This window comes from Homo sapiens, chromosome 13, assembly GCF_000001405.40.
Source record: "Homo sapiens chromosome 13, GRCh38.p14 Primary Assembly".
Lineage (NCBI taxonomy): Eukaryota > Metazoa > Chordata > Mammalia > Primates > Hominidae > Homo > Homo sapiens.
In genome coordinates, this window is record NC_000013.11 from 43465326 (window position 1) to 43490186 (window position 24861).

The following is a 24861-nucleotide window of genomic DNA, read 5'->3' on the forward strand; positions in this document are numbered from 1 at the left end:
ATAATCAAATACCATGTTATTTATTTTGTGGCTCAAATTGTTCCAGCTTTGGTCTCTGGGAGCTCTATTAAATTGGTTCCTGTATGCCTTTCACATGCCTACATCTTTTTGTTTTTTGAGCACTTATTTTTTTAGGGCATACCATGTGCTCCAAGATCTTGTATTTTTACTGTCCCAGCCACAAACTCAGTCATTTCTCTGAGGATCCCTAGTTCCTATTATTGGAGGATAATATTTAGAAACCACGGTCTGGGCACTGCATGTGCTTGATGCTACTGAGGTATCACTGCTCCCAGGCCCCCTCAGCAGAAAGAGCCAAGAAGTATAAATACATATTCAAACCCAGTTATATGCACATGTCTATAATTGTTTCTGTGTCTGTCCGTATGCATATTTATCAAATTAAATAGTAGTTAAGCTAACATGAAGTTAGCTGATATGTCCAACTCTAATCCAGCATTACAGGGTTTGTTGCAGCCCCCTCTCCTAGCTTATGGAAATTGTCCTGACAATGAGAAACCTGGCTTGCACCACCTACCATCCATTCATTTATTTGTTCAGCCTCAGTATTTGGGTCTTCTTTTGAAGAGATTTCTGTTACTTTAAAATAATAATATATAAAAGGGCTTTATTTTTATTCATTACCATCACTCCAATTGCTCTGTTTTCATCAAATCATTTCATGTTTCTCCTAGGCACCCAGGAAGACTATAATTCTCATGATCCCTTGTATTTAGGTCCAGTTCCAGTTAAAGGAATGTGGGTAGAAGTGATACTGACCACTTGTAGCCCTAGGCTCTATAATCTGTTGTGGGATTCTCTACATATATTGTCTATTTTTTTGATACCAGGTATAAGACACAGTGGAAAATTCCAATAATAAAAGAGAAAAACTATATGACGATTCAATGGAAACAGAAAAAAATCTTGAAAAAAGTAAAAATCCACTAAGGATTTAAAAACAAACACTCATCAATTAGAAATGAAAGAGAACTTCCCTAATACAATAAAATGCATCTCTGAAAATTCTACAGTGAAAATTATACTTGATTGTTAATATAATAAAAAATTCCTCATAAAATCAGGATCAAGACAAAGATGTCCACTCTCACCACTTGTACTCAGCATTTACTCCTCAAATGGGAAGTCTGAGTCATTATAATAAAGAAAAAGAACAACTACAAAAAATAGAAAGGAACAAAACTTTCTGAATGGTATATTTTGTATAAAAAATCCCATTAAACCTACCAAACAACTATCAGAACTAGTAAGTAGATTTACAAAAATTATAGAGTACAACTTTATTTTTTTATTGGAGATATAATTTATATAATGTATAGTTCACTCTTTTAAGGTGTACAGTTCAATGCTTTCTAGTACATTCACAAAGTTGTGTGACCATTCTTCTTATCTAATTCCGGAAACTTTCATCACACAAAATGAAGTCTTGTACCCATTAACAGTCACTCCCCATTCCCCCCAGCCCAGTCCCTTATAACCACTACTCAACTTTCTGTCCCTGTGAAGTTGCCCATTCTGGACTTTTCATATAAATGGAATCAGACAATATGTAGTCTGTGTGTCTGGCTTAATGTGCTCAAGGTTTATCCATTTTGTAGCATGTAAATGTATTCCATTCTGATTTTAGGTTGAATAATATTCTGCTGCATGCGTATATCACATTTTGTTCATCCATTCATCAGCTGATGGCTATTTGGGTTGTCTATTATTTTGGTTATTAGGAATAAAATTGCTATGAACACTCACATACAATTTTTGTGTGAATGTATGTTTTCAGTTCTCTTAGGTCTATACCTAGGAGCGAGATAACTCTATGATTAACTTTTTAAGAAAATGTCAAGGTGTTTTATCAAAGTGGTTACAGCACTTTACAATCCCATCAAAATGCATGAAGGCTCCAAATTTACCACATCTCTGTCAACACTGTTATTGTCTGTCAATTTTAGACAATTACTACATTACTATATACTATATTACTATATTTACTGTCTAAAAATGATAGACTATAGTAATTCGACAGACAGTTAAAATAGTAACCCAAGTGGGTATGAAGTGGTACCACGTTGTGGTTTTGATTTACATGTCTTAAGGGCTAATAATGTTGGGCATTTCTTCATGTGCTTATTGGCCATTTATAGTATCTTCTTTGGACAAATGTTATTTTAAAATTTTAAAATTTTAAATTTTAAAATTTCTTTATATATCTGGTATACTCTTTATCAAATATAAAATTTGCAAATATTTTCTTCCATCTTTGAGTTCTCTTTTCACTTTCTTGCTAGTGTCCTTTGAAGCACAAAAGTTTAAAATTTTGATAAAGTCTGATTTATCTATATTTTTCTTTTGCTGTACATGCTTTTGGTGTTTCACTCAAGAAACTATTGCCTAATCCAAGGTCATAAAGATTTATACCTATGTTTCCTTATAAGAATTTCATAGTTTTAGCTTTTACATTTAAATCTTGGATCATTTTTAATTTTTGTATATGGTGTGACACAAGCATCCAAATTCATAATTTTGTATTATTAATACATGTGGAAATCCAGTTGTCCCAGAACCATTTGTTGAAAAGACTATTCTTTCTTCCATTGAATTGCTCTGGAACCCTTTTGAAAATCAACTGGCCACAGATATAAGGTTTATTCATGGATTCTCTATTCCATTCCATTTATCTATCTGTCTATCCTTCTGCCAGTACCAAAGACTCTTGATTACTCTAGCTTTGTAATAAGTTTTGAAATTGGGAGCTGTGAGTCCTCTAACATTGTTCTTTTTCAAGATTGTTTTGGCTATTTTGGGTCTTTATATTTCCATATGAAGTTCAGGATCATAAATTCCTTTTTTTTTCTTTTTTTGAGACAGAGTTTCACTCTGTCGCCAGCTGGAGTGCAGTGGTGTGATCTCGGCTCACTGCAACCTCCGCCTCCTGGGTTCAAGCAATTCTCCTGCCTCAGTCTCCTAAATAGCTGGGACTACAGGCGCATGCCACCACACCCAGCTAATTTTTTATATTTTTAGTAGAGATGGGGTTTCACCATGCTGGCCAGCATGGTCTCGACCTCTTGACCTCGTGATCTGCCCGCCTCGGCCTCCCAAAGTGCTGGGATTACAGGTGTGGGTCACCATGGCTGCCCTATAAATTTCTTTTAAAAAGCCAGTCAAAGCAGGCGCAGTGGCTCACATCTGTAATCCTAGCTCTTAGGGAGGCAGAATCAGGAGGATAGCTTGAGCCCAGGAGTTCAAGATCTGCCTGGGCAATATAGTGAGACCCCATTCTCCACAAAAAAGAAAAAAAAAAAAAAACAAAGCCAGATAAGATTTTCATAGGGATGGCACTGAATCTGTAGATATATTTGGGGAGTACTGACATTTTGCTAACTTAAGCTTTCTATGATTATGGTGTGTTTCACCATTATTTAGGTCATGATTAATCTCTTTCAATGATGCTTTGCAGTTTTCAGCGTGCATGTCTTACACTGCTTTTGTTAAGTTTATTCCTAAGCATTTTTTATTGATGCTATTATGAATAAAATTGTTTTCTTAATTTCATTTTAAATTGCTCCTTGCTAGTGTATACAAATATAACTGGTCTTTGTATATTGATTTTATACGTTGCAACCTCACAGAACTCATTTATTAGCTCATAGTCAATAGTACATTATTGACTAGAAGTGGGTAGAGTAGAAATGTTTGTCTTGTTCCTAATCTTAGGTGGAAAACTTTCAGTCTTTCACTAATAACTGTAATGTTAGTTGTGGGTTTTCCATAGATGTTCTTTAGCTGGTTAAAAAGTTTCCTTATATTCCTAGTTTGTTGAGCATATTTATCATGAAACGGATTTTGTCAAATATTATTTCTAAGTTTACTAAGATGATTGTATGTTTTTCTTTTATTCTATTAATATGGAGTTTATACCGATTAATTTTCAAATGTTTAAGTAACCTTTTATTAGTGGGATAAATTATATTTGGTTCTGGTGTATAGTCTTTTTTATATGTTGCTGTATACAATTTGCTAGTATCTTGCTGAGAATTTTTCTACCTGTATTAATAAAGAATAGTGGTCTACAGTTTCCTTTCCTCTTATGTATTTGTCAGGTTTTGCTATCAGGGTAATATTACAATTGTAGTTTCATCTATTAACAGGAAACTTTGAAAAATAAAAATTTTAAATTCTATCTGAAATATTTAAAAATAAAATTCTGAGTAATAAATATAATAGTAGGTATTTAAGATGTTTATATAAAATATTACTGAGAGGTTTTAAAGAAGATCTATATAAATGCAGAGATAGTGTATGTTCATATATTGGAAGGCTTGATATTGGTGAGAAGTCAATTCTTCCCAAACTGATCCCTAGAATAAATATATTCCCAATCATAATCCCATTTGGCTAATTTCTTAGAAACCAGGAACATAATTCTAAGATAAATCTAAAATTTTACAGGAACTAGGATATACAAACCAATTTTGTAAAAAACAAAAAAAGAACAAAGATGGAAGGCTTATACCATCTGACTTGAAGACTTACTATAAAGCTACAGAAATCAGTGTAGTCTGGTACACTGATATATAAAGAGCTACAAAACCAATGGAACAGAGCAGAGAGCTCAGAAATAGATGCATATTTATGTGGTCATTTGATCTTTAAGAATAACATTAAGAAATTCCAGTGGGGGAAAGGAACGTCTTCAAGTAGTGCTGGAAGAATTAAATATCCATACAGAAAATAAAAAACTCTACACTGACCTCACACAACAAATAAAAATTAATTTAATATGGATAATAAATCTAAACATAAAAAGCTACAACTGTACTATAAAGTTTTCAAACTATATGTGTGTGTGTATATATATATGTGTATATATATATGTGTGTGTATGTGTGTGTGTGTATATATATACATATATATATACATATATATACACATATATATACATATATATATACACATATATATACATATATATACACATATATATATGTATATATATACGTATATATATATGTATATATATACGTATATATATACATATATATACGTATATATATGTGTATATATATATATATATAACAGAGATAACCTTGTTTTAGACAGGATACAGAAAATAATTAACCATGAAAGAAAAAGAAAGCCCTGATAAATTAGACCTCAAAATTTAAACTTCTGCTCATCAAAAGACATCACTAAGAGAATAAATTAGCAAGGCTCAGATTGGAAGGAAATACTTGCAAAATATACCTAATAAAATACTTGTTTATATATTTACATACATATATATTTTTATATATGGCTCATACATATAAAGAACTTCTATACTTCAATAAGAAAAACACAAATAATCCAATTTAAAAATGGGAAAATAACTGCAATGAACACTTTACAGAGAAAATTATATAAATGACCGGTGAGCATATGAAAATGATTTCGACATATTAGTCATCAAGGAAAAGGCATATTAGATTACTATTAAACATCACCACAAACCCACCAAAATGGCTAAACCTAAAAAGTCAGACTGCACCAAATATGGGTGAGGATGTAGAACACTAAAACTCTCACATTTTGTTGGTGGGAATATAAACAATTACTTTGGAAAAGATCTGGCAATTTCTTCAAAAATTAAGAGTACACCTATCTATGACCAGAATCCTACTTTTAGATGTTGACCTACTATAAATGAAGACCTATGCCCTCAAAAACATCTGCACAAGAATGTTTATAGAAGCTCATTCATACTAGTCGAAATGTGGAAGAATGGATAAACAAATTGGTAAAATGGAATACAACTCAGCAATAGAGAACTACCAATGAACTCAAGAACAGACTGATCTCAAAAACATTATGCTATATGAAAGGAGCCTGACACGAAAGAGTATATAGAGTATGGTTCCATTTATATAAAGCCCTGAAAGAAGTGATTTACTCTTGGTGGGGTAGGGATACTGGGAGGGGCCTGCAGGAACTTTCTGGGGTAATATAGATTCGGGTGCAACAGGCAGATACATTTGTCAGAACTCACGGAAATTCACTCATAAAAGTTGTGTGTCTTATCATATGTAAATTTTACCTCAAAAGAAAAAACAAAGAATCGTAAAATTTAAATTCTGGTAATAATGCACACGTTCAAGTATTTAGGAGGATATGTACTAATGTCTATAACTTGCTTTGAAATGTGTCCAAGCCAGAAGTGGTGGCTCACACCTGTAATCCCAGCGCTTTGGGAGGTCAAGGTGGGAGGATCACAGGGTCAGGAGATCGAGACCATTCTGGCTAACATGGTGAAAGCCCATCTCTATTAAAAATACAAAAAATTAGCCTGGCGTGGTGGCAGGCGCCTGTAGTCCCAGCTACTCAGGAAGCTGAGGCAGGAGAATGGTGTAAGCCCAGGAGGCGGAGGTTGCAGTGAGCAGAGATTGTGCCACTGTGCTCCAGCCTGGGTGACAGAGCGAGACTCCGTCTCAAAAAAAAAAAAAAAAAAAAGAAAGAAAGAAATGTGTCCAAAAATAAGATTCATGAATGATGAATGGACAGAGGGATAGAATGATGCACAGTGGTGGGTATATGAGTATTTACTGTAAACTTCTTTAAACTATTTGGAATAGTTAAACATTTGAATATAAAATGTTTAAATAAAAAAATTCTTTAAAACTAAGACTTTCACAAAAAAAAAGAAAAGAAAAATTAAAAGAAAAAAAGAGAAAGCAATCCCAGCTTTGTAAGTTACTAGCCATGCTTCATAAATAGTCTAAGCATAATTTCCTCATTTATAAAATATAAAAAATAATATCTACTATACAGGACTGTTAAAGGACTATACTTGCCAATATATGTAAAAAACAGTTCCTGGTATAAATAAGCACTGAATAAATGTTTTAGCTACTATTTTTAGTAAGCATAGAACGTCTGTAGCCATAAACCCACAAAAATAAAACTTCCTGAGAAAGAAGACAATGTTTGCACACTTTGTTAAAACAATTGTTATGTTTGTTGCATAGAAAAAAATCAGATTCACCGTGATTTTTTTCTACATGTGAATACCATTTATTAGGCTCCCTAAGTGAATGAGCTAGTAGAAAGGAAATATTATATTTAAAAAACCCCATAAGGCATATTTTTAGAAACGGTATTTCCTTGACTTTCATTCCAGGAAAATTCTAACACACGGCACGGTGCATGTGGAGCCCAGAAAAGAAAGCCTGCCAGATGCCACAGCAATAAATAGAGTAGGGCCTTGGAGACGAAGCATAAAAGGAAAATGTGGAGCATCATATCTGCAGCACCCTTCTCCATCTGGTATTTAGCCCACTGAGGTTATGGGATTTTTGGAAATTCACCTTTGTAGGCTACCTTTAATTATTTTTCTTGTTTATTTGTCCAGTAAACATTTAAATTGTAGCCTAATATGAGCCAAGTTCTATGAAGGTCTTCCAGGACCTTTGGAAAATGAAGCTGGGTACGGAAATTTCAGGAAAAAAATGTTCTAAGTACAGAGTAATGAAAGGTTAATACTATTTACGTCTTGCCATCTCTTTTTACAATATTAATTTCACAAATACAATTTTAGCATTTCCAACCAATAAATTAAGCAACAGCATATTTTCTCAAATGGCAGGAATTCTCAGACAGGAATAAAAGGGAGTAGAATTTCTTAAGTGGGTTATGTCTCACTTTGCTAAGAAGGGCAGAAATGAAAATAGGTTTTCATAAATTATATTTTCTATGGGTCTTGTATTATCATTTTTATAAACAGATATTTTCCAAGCAAGTGGAATTTCTTCACATCGTCTCTCAATTTAGTAATCTTTCTGATGAGCAAACTGAGCTGTAGAATGTTGAACATTGTTTCATCCTACTATGACTGTCATCCTTTGGCTTGTTGAATATATATTCTTGTGATAATTCTAAGAAACTATGACTAATGGATTTTTATCCAGAATTTTAAAACAACAAAAAGTTATTTTAAATTAAATGAAAAATACATTCTATTCCCTTAACTTTTCTTTTTTGGGGGGATTACACATTCTCTGCTAAAATTTAGGATGGAATTTCTAACAGTGATGGCATTGTTCGGTAACTAACAGTCTTTTGTGTGTGTGAAAAATTCTAAATGAGTGGAAATGATCTCAGAAATTTTATCTTGAAAATGTTTGCCTATAGTATTTATTCAAGTGTTGTCCACATTTTAGGAAAGAACTTCAAAAATGTCCTTTTCATAAAAATATGCAGTTCTCTTGTGTCTATTTAAAAGGGAAGTCCCTCTCCTAACTCCAGCATACGCACTCATCTCTGGGCTATCAATAGAAGCTAAAGAAAAAATTAAAGAAACACTGGCTGCATGCCAAATTTTGGGTTAATAGGGAAGAGAAAGCTGGTTGGCAATCTCCCTTCCTAGTCCTTATCTTTTCCTCCCCTTATCTCTCCTGTGCTAGGGGTGCTGGGATGTCTGTACTCTGTAACCTCTTTCTCTGAATGGAGACAGAAGCAGGAAGTCAGGTGCCCTGCACTTTAATGTCTTATTATTCTTCTCCTTGAGTAAATCCTAACTGTTAACGGGAAATAAAATGCTATATGTAAATGAACATCGTCACTTGGAAATCATCATTCTGGGCTACAGCACCAATACACCTGTAATCTTAAAACATCCTTTTAATAGTAATGAATTTGTCAAAAAAGTATATTAGGACATCTATATTCAAATTAAGTTTACCACTGGCTTAGGTTTTTAAAATTAATACAAGTTGCTTAAGATGGTGAAAGGCCAAACTGTTGTGATTCCTTCCACTATGTATCATCCTGGAGCAAAACTCATAGGGGAAAATTAGATATTCGTGAAGCAAGATAGCGAGGGTTTTTGTTGTTGTTGAGGTTCCCATCAGGAACAAGCTTATATTATTGGATTTACTTGAGAGTGTACAACTGCCCTTGAAATGAAACATCACCTACTTCCAACAAGTGTGCTCTCTCCCTAGTTCACCCTAATTAAGGAGGCTTCCCTATATTAATTTTGTCTCTTATACAAGCATCCTTGAGACTCTTTGTGCTTAATTATTTATGTCTATGTCTCAAGTATTAAGAGCACACTTGAAATTTAAGATTTTTCTAAGTTTCTAACACTTACTAGCTTTGTTTTTTGCTTAGACCTGTTAATCTAATTTTGTCTTCTCAACACTTTTGGGAATAATGCATTGCTTATCCTTAAATTTTGCTTTGCAGTTTCTGTATGAAAGATTCCAAATTCAGGTTTCAATGTATTTGAAACGAAGTTGCTGATTCCTCTCACTGGAATTAAGACCTACACTTACTTTTCTCACTCTTCTTTATTCTATTTCAAAGTTTGATGAATATTTTCTCAAACTGTATTTGAAAAATTTAGAATCCAATACCATGACCAATCTTCCTCCTGCTAAGCCATTGGTGGTCTAACTATTACTTTTTAAGAAAAATTAATATGGACCCTGATGTAAAAAGAAAAGAAAAACAAATATAGAGTGATTTCAGCAGGTCTATTACTAGACATGTTTTCTCATGTTTCTCGGTAGCTTGACCCTCTTGTCTGGTATTCCTGAGAGAATGGGCCTACCCACAGAGAAAGGGAGAAGGAGGTAAAGAAGTTGCAGGTTTGCTGGTGATTTGAGATGAATCCTCATGCAACAACTTGAAGGCAGACAGATTGGAAGAGCAGTGAGTTGATTTTCTAAAGTAAAATCCACCAGAAAGAGTTTACACGGTGTTGGAATTCTACCACATTTACAAATTAATGTGCCAGATGCCATCAGCAGATCTATCATTATGATGGCTATTGATAAATATCAAAATTTGACCATTAAGAAAATAGTACTACTAATCTCATACTGGGGATATCAGTACCACTACAGAAAAATTCTACTTAAAAACATATGTGAGCTAAAAGTGAAAAGCATTTCCCTGCTGATTCCACATGTCCACAACAGCCTAAGCAGTGTGGAGATGGCCAGCGGAGCAGCAATAGGGAACGTGTGCCAACATTTCTGATAGGAACTCTATTTTCTGAGGATTTAGGCTCAATTATGAAAGTCTGCTGAAAATGAAACTTGGCATAAATACTGTAGCTTAGTAGAATTCCATCAAATACAACAAAAATGAAGATTAAGGAGAGGGAAATCCTATAAACTCAACTTTCAGAAAAGACCAGAGCATTGCTAAGGAAAATCAAAGGAAGTTCTCAATACTTATTAATTAATCTTTTCATAAACGAAATCATATTTGAGAAGTGGTGAGATCATTTACAGCCTAATAATTTCCAGATATGGAAGGGAATAAATAATTTAAAGGGGTAATGATTGAACCTAGGAAGGGCTGTGTCAGTTCTAGAAATAGTGGCTTTTACTCTTGAATTTTTAAAAGTTCCATTTTCTTAGTGGTGGCATTGGCCCAGGCCACAATCATATACAAAAACATAACTGACCAAAAAAAAAAAAAAAAAAAAAGAAAGGCTTTAATCTCTTAGAATAGCAAAACAGAATTTGAGAAGAGCCTAAACTCTAAGATATACAGCTCTTAAAATTTTACCATAAAGGACACTTTTTTAGAGCCCTAAATAAGGTGGGAACCTTAAACACAGACCTTAATTTTAATAACTCTTGGGAATGGATGGTCTCAGTTAACTCTAATCTTATATTTGTTTATAGACCTCAGTTTTCAATTACAGGAGGTCTAAGCATTGAAGTGTTAGAGTGTTTCAATAGATGAAAGATGATTAATAGAAACTTTAATATCTCTCCAAGTCAAATGACCATGTAACCTCTACAAATATTACTGTAATCGCTACAAATATTTGTTACTTTGTTTATTCATTCAGTAATTCAAAAAAAGATTTATTGAGCACATGCTAGGTATAACGCTCCATAAAACAAGCCTAAAATCTACCAAAAATACAAATATGTATTCACTTGAGAATTTCTGATAGCTCTCATTTAGTGAAGGTACCAGACACTAAACAACATTTAACTTGAGATACATCTGGAACCTTTAACAACATACTAAACTTTAAAAAAAAGTGCATATTTTTCTAATGTGGTTCTGAAACAAAGAGACAAAAAGAAATTTTTTATTTGTCTAATGGAAGAGAAAAGGCCTCAAAAACTAGCTGACCTCCCAGATAATGAAGTGTAAAAGAATGTGCAAATGTACTTCAAAAAGTAACTCTCCTGGACACCAACTGAACCCTTAGAAGCTAAAGGCGGGAAATAACCCCTTCTTCCTTCTTTTACTCTCTCTAGTTTGTCTTTGTTCTGTTTCCCTTGTCATTTCCCACTCTTCAGACACAATTATAGTTGATTGAGATATAACGAGTAAAGCTACATTAGAAACTACTCATGGAAAAATCAATAGAAAAGGATAGAGGCACATTCAACAGAAACAACAAAACAGAAGCACTGTTAGGAAGAAGGAAGTGAGAGGTTTTTGTAGCAGAATGTACGGAACAGATATTTCCCAAGTGCCTCTTCTATGGTAGGTGGGACATAGCAGCATCATACAGTCACCTCATATATCCACTGTAAAAGAGGAGATGGGTGGGTGCAGGCAGGTAATTGTCCAGAAAAAGCAACAGACTGGTTCTATTATGAGAAAGTGAACATACTTCATTTGTGGAAAACTATACAACAATTAACCACTATGAATGAAACAGATCTCCATATATTAAGAGAGAGATTCTAAAAAAATAAAAAAAAAATTGAGAAAAAACAAGTTCCAAAGGTATATATTCAGTATGATCCCATCTATGTAAACTTAAAAAATATTGCACATATATATGTGTGTATACATATATATACACATACATATATATATATAGTATACACACATATATATAGAGAGATTAATTATAACTATATATGTGATAAATGGTATAATATACAACAACCTTATTATCATGATAGTACCTCTGGGAAAGGAGAAGTAGATATCTGAAGAACATTTTAAAATTTTTAAATATGGGGGTGAATACATACGCTTTGCTCTTTTCTGTAGGTTTAAGCTACTTGACAATAAAAATTAACATTTTTTTGAAATTTGTTGTCTAAAAAAAGAAAGCTGTAGAAATTGAGACAATTAGAAGGAGCTGTTCTAGTAAGTCTAACTTTCTTATTTCTGAGCTGAGCTGAGAATATACAAGGCTGATTATTTTCCATCTTCAGAAAGAGAAACAATGGAGACTTACTGTAGAAGAAAAGACTATCCTTGCAATGAGAAGTCAGTGGCACTTTTGGCAAATGAATGGTCATTTTCAGGTGGAAGTGAATTATCTGAATGTAGTTATATTGAGTCCTCCAGCTTTAAAAGAATGTTTCAACTCATACACTATTTATTTGAGTTACTCTTTTTTTTCTTTATGGGGTGTGAATATGAGGTTTAAGGGACACAGTTAATAGATGCCAAGTTTTCATTGTTTCTACAAATGTTTATAGAGTCTGGATTTTGGAATAACAATTTGCACACTTACAAGTGTTGATTAGCTGGGCAACATTGCAATTAATATTACTTTTTTAAGCTCCTCGCAAAGACTTCCTTTTCTTTCAAAATTGCCAATAAACATTTTCAAACATAATCCCCAAGGAGCTCATTCACTGGGTGCTGGGGGACTCCAGCAGGAAGGAAACCTACTAACATTTTATTAATTTTGGATCATGTGTAATTCTTAGGATTAATGGCAAGGAGCCAGAGAGGTTTTTTTTTTTTTTTTTTTTTTTTTTCATTTTTTAAATCACAGTGGAAAATAAGCCTGAAACATTTCACTAGTAAGGCAAGAGTCACTTAAGATATATTATTAAATATGAGGGGTAGAAATAAATCACAGACACAAGTGGTATTATACAGTGGGCATTTTTCTGAAAAAACAGACTCCGTGCATGAGGATTAGATATACGCCCACAATAAGAGGGCATATTGATCTATAATTTTCAGTATTACATCCTTGTATTTTTTATTATATGCTATTTTTCAACTAGTAGAGGAACGTGTTCTCATAAAGCTAATATTTATTCTTCCATGTTTATACAGCTAGTAGTGCATTTCAGGAAATGAGAAATTCTGAGAAGCCAAATATAACTTGATGTCGTATGCAAAAAAGAAGACAAGACAGAAAAATCCCCATATTTTAAAAACCTGACTCAGGAACTCACTCATAAAGCTTTAAATAATTAAATAACACAACATAATGAAAGTCTTTTGATATTATTTTTTCTATTCCCATAAATGTAGCCTTTTCATAGATGATACATCTTATCATGTAGTATTCCTCATTTTACTAGAAATCAAAGAAAAGGACCCTTTAGTCCAGTTCTCATTTTCAACACTGTACTCACTGTGTGTATTTTGTGGAAGCTGAGGCAGATACTCACTGTAATCCCACTATAAAAATTGAGATACCCCTACTGGAAACTGTATTGTTAATTCATGAATTCTTCTCATTTTATTATTAAGTAACCTGTGTACTGGGGAATTCAATGATTTCTTAAACCCAAAGAAAATAGTAGTGAATGATAATTTGGTTTTTCATGGAGAGGCTGTATTCATATTATATTACGGTAAAAGCCTCAAGAGGTCAGAGCCATTTCGGGGGAGAAATTCCCCAAGCCTTTGGAGGAGAAACTCCCCAAAGGTCAATTGTTTCTATGTCCTCTCCTTTTAGTTTATAACTTTACTTGAGCCCTTGGAGAAATCAGGAGAAACAGAAGTTGTCAAGTCATTTCCCCATACTCCGCATGCATAAAGATGGAACTGGGTGTTGGCAACAGTAAGTAAGTGAGGCAGAAGGCAGAAGTGTTGAGGGGGATGGCAGGAGGTGAGGCCAAGGATGTTGGGACTAAAGGGAGAGAGCAGTTAGGCTGTAATCAAGGGTTCTTTGAGCTCCCCACAAACCGATCCTTGATTTTCTGAGGAAGCTTGTGGCCTAGAGCAGACAGCTGAAACTATGGTGCTTGGTGAAAAGCAAGTGAAAAAAACAACTACTACTTTATTACTTACCTTTTCCCAGTCATCTTGCAGATTTCAGATTTTCTACCCTTTCCGTTCTCAGTAACTGACCGGCCACCTTTGTGGCATCAGCCCCACCACTTCTCCTGAGGTCCAAGCCTGTCTCCATCTCCATATCCAACAGCTGTCCTCTCTCTGCCATTTTCCTGTACTGAGTTCTAATATTATCTTTCCCTCATCCATGTTCCTATATCAAGAAAAATGATCTCCTTTAAACACCAAACCAGAATTTCTCGTTCTTCGAAAGAGTCTATCCATCCATTTATGTATGTTAGTGTATTTCTAGGCAGCTAAAAAATAAATGTAATCTCAGAGTAGAAGTGCAATAGAATGGAAAGAGAATGGTACCCGGAGTTAGAAAAAGGGGGCTACACCCAGCTCCATCTTTCTGCCCATTTGGGCACTGTCAGCTCTAAGTGAAGTTTCTGTAGTCTGGGCAGTTGCAGACCTCCACTGCTGGACAAGGGAAAGAAGGTTTGAGTCTGGTTATTACAATAACTGGGGTTGGGGGAGATGTTGGCTTTTGGTTCCTGAGAACCGTGGTTACTAAACATTCTTTTATTTATTTTTATTTTTATTTTTTTTTTTTTGAGACAGAGCTGTTCTCTTGCTGCCCAGGCTGGAGTGCAATGGCGTGATCTTGGCTCACTGCAACCTCCACCTCCCGGGTTCAAGCCATTTTCCTGCCATAGCCTCCTGAAGTAGCTGGGATTACAGGCACCCACGACCATGCCCAGCTAATTTTTTTGTATTTTTAGTTGAGATGGGATTTCACCATGTTGGCCAGGCTGGCCTTGAACTCCTGACCTCAGGTGATCCACCCGCCTCGGCCTCCCAAAGTGCTTCAATTCTAGGCATGAGCCACTGCACCTGGCTGGTTACTAAACATTCTAAACATGCATGGGACAACCTTGCATCACAAAGAACTGTCCCACTTAAAATGCCAATACTGCCCTGATGAAGAAACATCAATAGATGATTTTCAATGTTCCTTCAACCTATTTGGCCTCTAAAACTTAAGTGAAATGTAGGGAACTTAAGAGACTCAGGAAAGAACTGTGAGGATAATTAAAATTTTGGATTATGCAGATTTATAGGAAAAGTTTTAAAAATGGGCTTATCTCTCCCAAAGAGAAAAAGGATGATTTAAAAACTGAGACTAGGATGATACAGGGGAAGTCTGACCAATAAATTTTCTTTTTCAATGGAAGCAGAAATAAATTAACATGATATGAGCTCAGAAATTACATTGGCTTTCTTGAGAAAGACTTGAAATCATAAATGAAAGAGGAGACATTACAACTGATATCACTGATATCACAGAAATAAAAAGGATTATGAGAGACTACAAGGAACAATGATATGCCAACCAGTTAGATAACCTAGATGAAACAGATACATTTCTAGAAACACACAACCTACCAAGACTAAATAGAGAAAAAATAGAAAGCCTAAACAGACCCATAACTAGTAAGGAGATTGAGTCAGTAGTTAGCAATCTTCCAACAAAGAAAAGTCCTATATCAGATAGCTTCACCAGATCATTCTACCAAACATTTAAAGAACTAATGCTAATCCTTCTCAAACTCTTCTAAAAAATTGAAAAGGATGGAACATTTCCTAACTCATTTTATAAAGCCAGCATAAGCCTGATACCAAAGTCAACCATGCCACAAGAAAACTACAGGCCAATATCCCTGATGAATGTAAGTGCAAAAATTCTCAACAAAATACTAGCAACTTTTTGCTAGCAACAAATACTAGCAAACCAAATTCAACAGCAGTATGCAGTATGCTGTTGAATTTGGAAGCCTCATACTTCCCGATGTCGAAATGTAACAACAAACTCTCTATATATTATATACAGAGTTTCAGTCATGCAAGATGAAAAAATTGTAATATATAAAGCTACAATAGTCAGAATGGCATGGTACTGACATAAAGGCAGATATATGGACCAATGGAAGAGGATAGAGAGTCCAGAAATAAACCCATATATATATGGGATCAAATTATATTCAACAAGGGTTCCAAGACTCCACAAAAGTGTAAGAACTTATTCTTCAATAAATTGTGCTGGGAAAACTGTATATCCACATGCCACAGAATAAAACTGGATCCTTATTTTATACCAGACACCAAAACCAACCCAAAATGAATTAAAGAATTAAATATAAGATTTGAAACTACACAACTAGTAGAAGAAAACCCAGGGAAAAAGCTCCATATTTGGTCTTGGCTGTGATTTCTTAGATATCACAAGAAAAGAACAGGTAACAAAACAAACACAGACAAGTAGAATTATATCAAATTAAAAGGCTTCCATGCAGCAAAGGAAGCAATCAATAGAGTGAAAAGGCAACTTACAGAATGGGAAAAAATTTGCAAACCATATATCTGATAAGGGGTTAATATATTAAATATGTAATAAACTCCTACAACTCAACTGCAAAATATCCAAATAATATAATTTAAAAATGGGCAAAGGACTTGAATAGACATTTCTCCCAAGAAGACATACAAATGGTCAACAGATACATGAAAGATATTCAAAATCACTAATTATCAGGGAAATACAAATCAAAACCACAACGAAGTATCACCTCAAGATGGTTATTATTTAAAATAATAGACAAGGGTTAGCAAAGTTGTGGAGAAATTGGAACCCTTGTACACTGAGGGTGAGAATGCAAACTGGTACTTCTGCTGTGCAGTATGAAGATTCCTCCACAAATTAAAAATAGAACTACCATATGATCCAGCAATTTCACTTCTGGGTACATATCAAAAAAACTGAAAACAGGATCTTGTAGAGATATTTACACACTCATGTTCACTGCAGCATTATTCGCAATAGCTAGGATGTGGAAAGAACCTAAATGCCCACTGACAAATGAATGAGTAAATATGGTCTATATGTAGAACAGAAGATTATTAAGCCTAACAAGGAAAATCCTGTCATATGTGACAACATGGATAAACTAAGGTCATTATGCTAAGTGAAACAAGCCAGTCACCGAAGGACAAGTACTGCATGATTTCATTCATATGAGGTACCTAAAGTAGTCAAACTCATAGAATAAGGTAAAATTGTAGTTGCCAGAGCTGAAGGGAGGAGAAACAGGGAGTTGCTTTACAACAGGTATAGCACTTTAGTTAAGCAAGATGAAAAAATTGTAAGGATTTGCTGTACAACATGCAGAGAGTTAACAACACTAAAGTATGGACTTAAAAATTTGTTAAAGGGTAGATTTCATATTTTGTGTGTGTGTGTTTTAACCACAATAAATGAAAAAAAAAACTAAGAAAAAAAGGAAATTGGATCCCTGGGTATGAAGGTTTGAAAACAAATGGATTTTTATTGGTTTCAGACAGTTCACGCAGAATCTTGCTTGTAGACTAGGGAGGAGCATTTAGGTAACTTCTCACGTCCTTCCCAGCACTTCTGTTTCTATGGATACAGTTATTAGGTTCCAGCACACTGTGATATCCTACTGAATTGACAGGCTAGAGAGCTGAGGATGGAGGCACAACTTCTCATCTACCCCATACCCTAGTAAATACCCCCTGCCTCACTGTTCAATGGGGGTTAATCATGAGGCCCAACAGCGAAGGGTACAGTGGGAAAACTGGAGTCTAGCCCAGCACTACAGTAACATCTACTTTGATTCTTAGTAGAAATAAAAGAAATAAAAAAAGTAGAACCACAGTAAAGGGCTACTAAGAGAGAAAGCATTTGTCACCGTGGACAGAATAAAAGTACCACCAAATGAAATAAATGCCTATGGGAAAAGATGTGTCATGCTAGAAAGTACTGTGTTCCTTCTCCTTTGCTCTTCATTTAGTTTTCATCCACTCAATGTACCAAGCCTTATCCTATATCCTGTTTCCTTTTCCAGCTTTGAAAGATGCATGGACTGAATTTAGCCTTTGGTTAGGTCTTTGTCAGAAAGTACCTTCAAAATAAAAGTGTTTTACTTGGTACTATCTCAATAGCAAACATGTATTTCCAAAATGAAATGCTTGCTCTACTAGCAAGCTTTTTCCTTGAGTAAGCAACAATATTGTTAGTAATTTTTCAAACTGTTAATACACATACACACACACACACACAAAACCCCAAACAAGCCCTATTCTATCATTTATAAATCATAGGGTGAATATCCTCTGGTAGAACTAAATGAAAACATTCAGGGCACTGAGTTTTTATAATTTGAAAAATGATAATACTAGTTGATATTGACAAATTCAGTTTTGATTTTCAACGTTTCAAAATATAATTTATCCACAAGGTCTTAAACAATTGAAAGTACTTAACTAAATCTGATATATGTAGATGCTTGGCATAAATTTATTGAATCTATTCAGTTAGAATTTATAAACACAAAAATAAAATTTGTTTTAAGTCAATGTGGGGTATATTTTATTTCTAATATCCTTGTTACATTCCACAGGGTATACATAAATAAGTATGACAAGATATTTATTTTCATTTAAATCTAACTTTCAATGAAATTAAGAAATGAAAATCTGTTTAAAATCTACCCCCAGAGTTCTAATTGAAATAGAGTACAAATATTTTCCATTAAAAAATATCCCTCAAACTTAGTATCTTCAGTAAGAAAAATGAAAAAATTAACACAAACCTCAAAACTGCCAGCAGCTCAGAAGACAAATGTGTTCTCTGGGGACTTGATTGAAACCATGTATTCATAAAAGTCTTTTAAATGGATGCTCTTCACAAAGGAAGTCTCATGGAAGACAGCATGGTTCTGACATATCAGAGGCTTCTGGAAGCAAAGAAAAGCACACCGTTAGGATATGTCTAAAGTACCATTACTGCCTGTAATGGTATTATTATCACTTATATGTGTTATCAGCATGATGTTATTAATTTCTATTATCAATTTTGTACCCTAAATCATCTTATTCATCAATGGCAGAGTGGGACACTAACCTTTCAATATCGTATTTAGAAATTTCTAAAAGTCAGGAGTATTTATAACTAAGCAAACCTCTGCTTTTCCTCTTATCTAGGCTGGGATTGAATAACTGTGGGCAGGGTATGAGCACAAGAACAGTGACAGTATTTACTGAGTGTCTACCAGATATAAGGCACTGTGCAAGTGGCTTTTAAATCTGGGATCTTTAATACAAACAACACTGCAATTGAAAAGTATTGGCTCCATTTTACAGATGAGAAAAAAATGCACAGATTGCTGACCTCAGGCTTAGAACCTGTAACCATCAAAGTTCAAAGGCCTTAGGGCAGGTACTTTCCCTCATCTCACTCTGTAGCCTTGGTGATTTAGAAAAATATTTCCCAAACAGAACTGACAAGAGAACAGATAATGCTGCAACATACTAAATTAATTCAAATATTACTAATTAATTAAGAACTTGTCTTGCCTAATTTACTTTAGTTTTATATTAAATATCATCTTATTCAGTCAGGCCCACATAAATACAAATGCCCAGCTTTAAGCAGTATATTTTTTTCTACCAACTTTTCTTCCTTAGACAAAGAGAGAACTTGCTGGAAACTGAGAAGCTCCTTTGTGTTTGGTGTGGGATTACATGCAGCGCTACATCAAGGCTGGCACTGCAAACTTCTCATCTTCCTCTGGCCCATCCATGTGACCCACAGTTCCTCCACTGTCCTGATGAATGAGAACACTTAGTTTTCCTGATTGCATCAGGAACTGAGCCCACATCCTCTATGGCTATTACTGAGTGATATTACTGTATCTCTTTGTGGCTACATTCACCTTAATGGCTGAGGGTGACAAAGCGAGGGCTCTAGTTGGATTTCCATTCTCATTTTTAGTCAGCTATCTCTATATTTGTTTCTGATGGTTCCAGTGCAACACAGAGACCCCCTGCAACTTACCCACCACCAGCTGTCCCAGTACCCACTCTCACACTGTGTTGCAGGGCTACTGCTCACCAAATAAATGCTTCAACACATCCCTTGAAATGATAGCTTTGGATGCCATAGACTTTTGTCTGTCCTGAACCTTTTAGCTCATGGCCCCACTGCAGGACCAAAAGTCCCTTAGAGAGACTAGAAAATGATGGAGCCAGGAAGGTCATGCATAACTTTTGAAATTTTTAGTTTATTGGATTTTTGGCCACAAAAGCTTCAGTCATGAATAAAGAAACAAGGGAAAACGATTGATGGTATTTTCAAATTCTACAGAACCAGAGCCTAGGATTATTACACAAAGAAAAAGGAAAAAGAACAGAGGAAAACAGAGCTAGTTTATCTTTGCATGACAGAAGAAAGGTGAGCTTGACAAAGAATGAAGAAAAAAGACTTGAACCAATGGATCTAAACTAAGTGAGAGGAATGTGAAATGAATAGCAACTCTTCTTAAAACCTCATACACTAGCATTCTGTTTACTTCATACCACTCAGAAACACATTTTCAGGCAGGGCACGGTGGCCCACGCCTATAATCCCAGCACTTTGGGAGGCCAAGGCGGGCAGATCACTTCAGTCCAGAAGTTCAAGACCAGCCTGGCCAATGTGGTGAAACCCTGTCTTTACAAAAAATACAAAAATTGGCCAGGTGCGGTGGCTCATGCCTGTAATCCCAGCACTTTGGGAGGCCGAGGTGGGTGGATCATGAGGTCAGGAGATGGAGGCCATCCTGGCTAACACTGTGAAAGCCCGTCTCTACTAAAAACACAAAAAATTAGCCGGGCATGGTGGCGGGTGCCTGTAGTCCCAGCTCCTTGGGAGGCTGAGGCAGGAGAATGGTGTGAACCCGGGAGGCAGAGCTTGCAGTGATCCAAGATCGTACCACTGCATTCCAGCCTGGGTGACAGAGCGAGACTTCGTCTCAAAAACAAAAACAAAAAACAAAAATTAGCCAGGTGTGGTGGTGCACACCTATTAATCCTGGCTACTCGGGAGGCTGAGGCATAAGAATCACTTGAACCCAGGAGGTGGAGGCTGCAGTGAGCCAAGATTGCACCACTGCACTCGGGCCTGGGCAAGTAAGTGAGACTCTCTCAAAAAAAAAACAAAGACAAAAACAAACAAACAAAAAAACCAACAACCAAATTTTCAGATTAAATGCCTAAACTAGTAGGCCCAGTTTTTATAAAATCCTAATGACAATTTTTAAACATTCATTCAGCCACTATTCATTATATACTTATGAGCCAAACAATAAGTTGGAAAATTCCAGGAACACTGCAATAATCAAGATAGCCTTTTAGTCAAGCATCTTAACTGTCTTGTAAAGAGATACAACTAGGATGTCAAAAACCATAAGAAGGTGGTACCAGTAGGTGTTTGTAATAATGGGGTCTGAAACCAAACTGGCGGGGGTGTTCCTGCTTCATTACTTCCTGGCTGTATGACCTTGGGCAAGGTACTAAAACTGTATAACTTAGCCTCCTTATCTGCAGGATGTATTTCCCGCAAAGGCTGTTCGAGGATTAAGTAAGAGAAGCCACATAAAGTGCTTTGTGCACTGAGTAACATACAATAAGAACTCATCAAAAGTTAGGAAATGTTGGCGGGATGCAGTGGCTCACGCCTATAATCCCAGCACTTTGGGAGGCCAAGGCAGGCAGATCACCTGAGGTCAGGAGTTCGAGACCAGCCTGGCCAACATGATGAAACCCCGTCTCTACTAAATACAAAAATTAGCCAGGTATGGTGGTGCATGCCTGTAATCCCAGCTACTCAGGAGGCTGAGGCAGGGAGAATTGCTTGAACCTGGGAGGTGGAAGTTGCAGTGGGCTGAGATCGTGCCACTGCACTCCAGCCTGGGTGACAAAGTGAGACTCTGTCTCAAAAAAAAAAAAAAAAGTTAGGAAATATTAGTAGTATTGTTGTATAACAGATCATGGGTGGTATCAGTGATGGAAAACGTGCTATGAAGCTCAGAGGAATTGGAGATCCTTTCTGTTGGGGATGAATGGAATCAAGAAGGCTTCAGTGAAGAAAGTAGCATTTAAGATCAACTATAAGTAAACAGAGAGACATGATTAGGCATTTACAGAAATTCTATTATAATTGAAAAGCCAGAATATGATATACTTTAGAAAAACATAGGTTCATGAAATTAGACATTATTTTCCAGGATTTGGTGTGAAAGTAGACACCTAACCTAACAACACAGCCAGGTCATAGTACAAAGAAAATCAACGTACTGCTACCAAGAGAGGTACACGATCCCATGGGGTCCTGTTCTATTTAACTGTAATCCAAAATGACACCATGGCTTTTAATGGAGCTTGGCAAGCTCTAGACGTGCCAATTATAAACTTAGCCTTAAATTTAAATCATAGGGCTTGAGACTCAAATCTCCAATGTGACCTTTCCTGGGTGTTGTTCAAGAAAACATGTCTGTCACTGTGGACAGAAACCACACACCCTTTTACTCTGGAAAGTATAATATAAAGATGTACTGTATTTTACAAGCACAGAGCCACAAAATGATGGTGGCTATAATTCCCTAGAAGCAATAAAAGCAAAGGCTGTTTGATTTGTAACATTCATTTAGAAATGTCTTATTGCATTAATGAACATTCTTATTTCCCGCATATTCGGGACTTTAATTCAAAAAAAGCTTGGCAGGAATCTCATCATTTATAGATTTAACATATAGTTCCTCTGGATACATTCATTTTGCAAGGGCTCACTAAGCCACACTACTTTGTCCTTGCCAGACCCATACAATATTGTACTGAACAGAGGAGCTAAAAGCCCACAGTGGCTTGAATTCTCCTATACCCTCCCTGTTTCCTAGCCATGGAAGGTCTAATCAAGGAGAGTTCTATGGTTGAAATGTGTTCAGGTGTTGCCAATGTGATAGTGTGAAGAGGTATAGCCTTTAAGAGATGATTAGGCCATGAGGACTCCTCCCTCATGAATGTGATCAAGGCCCTTATAAAAGAGTCTTCACACAGCATTCAGGTAGCTGGCCCTTCTGCCTTCCACCACGTGCAAACACAGCAATATTCCCCTCCAGAGAAACCATCTTGGAAGTGGAGAGCAGCCAGCACCACAGACAACAGAATCTTCTGGTGCTTTAATCTTGAACTTTCTAGCCTCCAGGACTGTGAGAAAATAAATTTCTATTCTTTATAAATTACCTAATCAATGGTATTTGTTATAGGAACAACAAAGGCAGAAATTGGTGCCAGAAGAATGGGATGATGCTGTAATAAATACCTAAAAATGTAGAAACAGCTTTGGAATTGGGTAATGGGTAGAAGCTGGAATGGTAATGGGTAAATGCTGGAAAAAGCCTGTACCGTCATGAACAGAACATTAAGGGCAATTGTGGTGAGGGCTAAGAAGAAGCAGAAGACTAGAGAAAGCCTGACTTCCTTATGGATTACTTAAGTGTTTGTGAACAGAATGTTGGTATAAGCATGAACAGTAAAGATTATTCTGTTGAGATCTCAGATGGACATAAGGAACAGGGTACTGGAAGCTAGAGGAAGGGCCGTCTTTGTTATAAAATGGCAAAGAATTATGCTGAATTCTGTCCTGTCCTAGGACTCTGTGAAATGCAGAACTTAAGAGCAATTAACTAGACTATTTGGTGGAGTAAATTCTGAATTTTCCATTAATTCAAATTGTGAGCATTTGGGAAATTTTCAGCTTGGACATGTGGAGAATAAAAATTAAGTGCGTTTAGAAGAGAAAACCAAGTGCATGACCAAGTGACTGTTTGGTAAGGAGATTAGTATGGATAGAAGAAAGCCAGGTGCTTTAGAAGAAAGCCAGGAGCCATTGACAATGCACCAATGGCTCTAAACACATTTTGAAGATCTTTGAGGCTGCCCCTCCCATCATGGGCCCAGAGTGCTAGGGCTTTGAGGGCAGAATGGTTTTGAGGAAGGGGCCCAGGGTGCCTGGGGGATCTGGGGACTCACTGCCCAGGGCAATCTCAAGTCTCTGCTCCCCACATTCTGTTACGGCATTCCTCAGCCTCCCCAGCTGTGGCTTGAGTGGACCCAGCTGCAGCTGTAAACCCTGGCAGCCTCCATATGGTCGTAATTCTGAGGCTTACAGAGTGCAAGAGCTGTGAGACACAGCTGCTTCCGCCTAGATTTCAAAGGATGTCTCAGGCAGCCTTGGGACCTAGGCATGAACTTGCTTGCCACAGAGGTAGGACCATGGCAGAGACCCTTCACTAGTGCAATGACTAGTGGAACTGTGGGGTCAGAGCCACTGCAGAGAGTCCCCAGTAGGGCAATCCTTAGTGCAGCCATGGGGGCAGGTTCACTCATAAAATCCCATTATTGTAGAGCCACAGCATGCAACTCCAGCCTGAGAGAGCTACAAGGGCTGAACTCCAGCCCGCGAGAGCTGCTTCATGGGCTATGCTCAACAATATTGTCATAGAAGGGTCTCCTGGAGGCTTGGAGACCCAACCCAGCTGAGTATGTCTTGAAGAAGATATGAAGTAAAAGATTACTTTCAAGTCTTAAGATTTAATGTTTGCCTTGTTGGGTTTTAGACTTACTTGGGACCTGTTACCCCTTTCTTCTTTGCTATTTCTCCCTTTTGGAATGGAAATGTCTATCCTATGTCTGTCCCATCATTGTATTTTACTTTATTTTTGAGACAGAATGTCGCTCTGTCACGCAGGCTGGAATGCAGTGGCATGACGTCGGCTCACCACAACCTCCACCTCCTGGGTTCAAGCGATTCTCCTGCCTCATCCTCCTGAGTAGCTGAGATTACAAGTGCCTGCCCCCACGCCCAGCCAGATTTTTTTCTATTTTTGGTAGAGACAGGGTTTTGTCATGTTGGCCAGGCTGGTCTCGAACTCCTGGCCTCAAGTGATACAC

General features: G+C 36.3%; 1 protein-coding gene across 31 annotated transcripts in view; it reads right to left on the reverse strand.

The window, feature by feature from the left end:
- ENOX1 (ecto-NOX disulfide-thiol exchanger 1) overlaps positions 1-24861 on the reverse strand; it is a 573843-nt gene that overhangs the window by 252196 nt on the left and 296786 nt on the right. For 29 of the 31 annotated variants that reach the window (XR_007063686.1, NM_001347965.2, NM_001347971.2 and 26 more), the window contains one exon: positions 18684-18827. The exons of the other annotated variants lie outside the window; for them this stretch is intronic. The gene's annotated coding sequence lies outside the window, so the exon portion shown is untranslated. The remainder of the gene's footprint in view (positions 1-18683; positions 18828-24861) is intronic. 31 annotated transcript variants of the gene reach the window in all.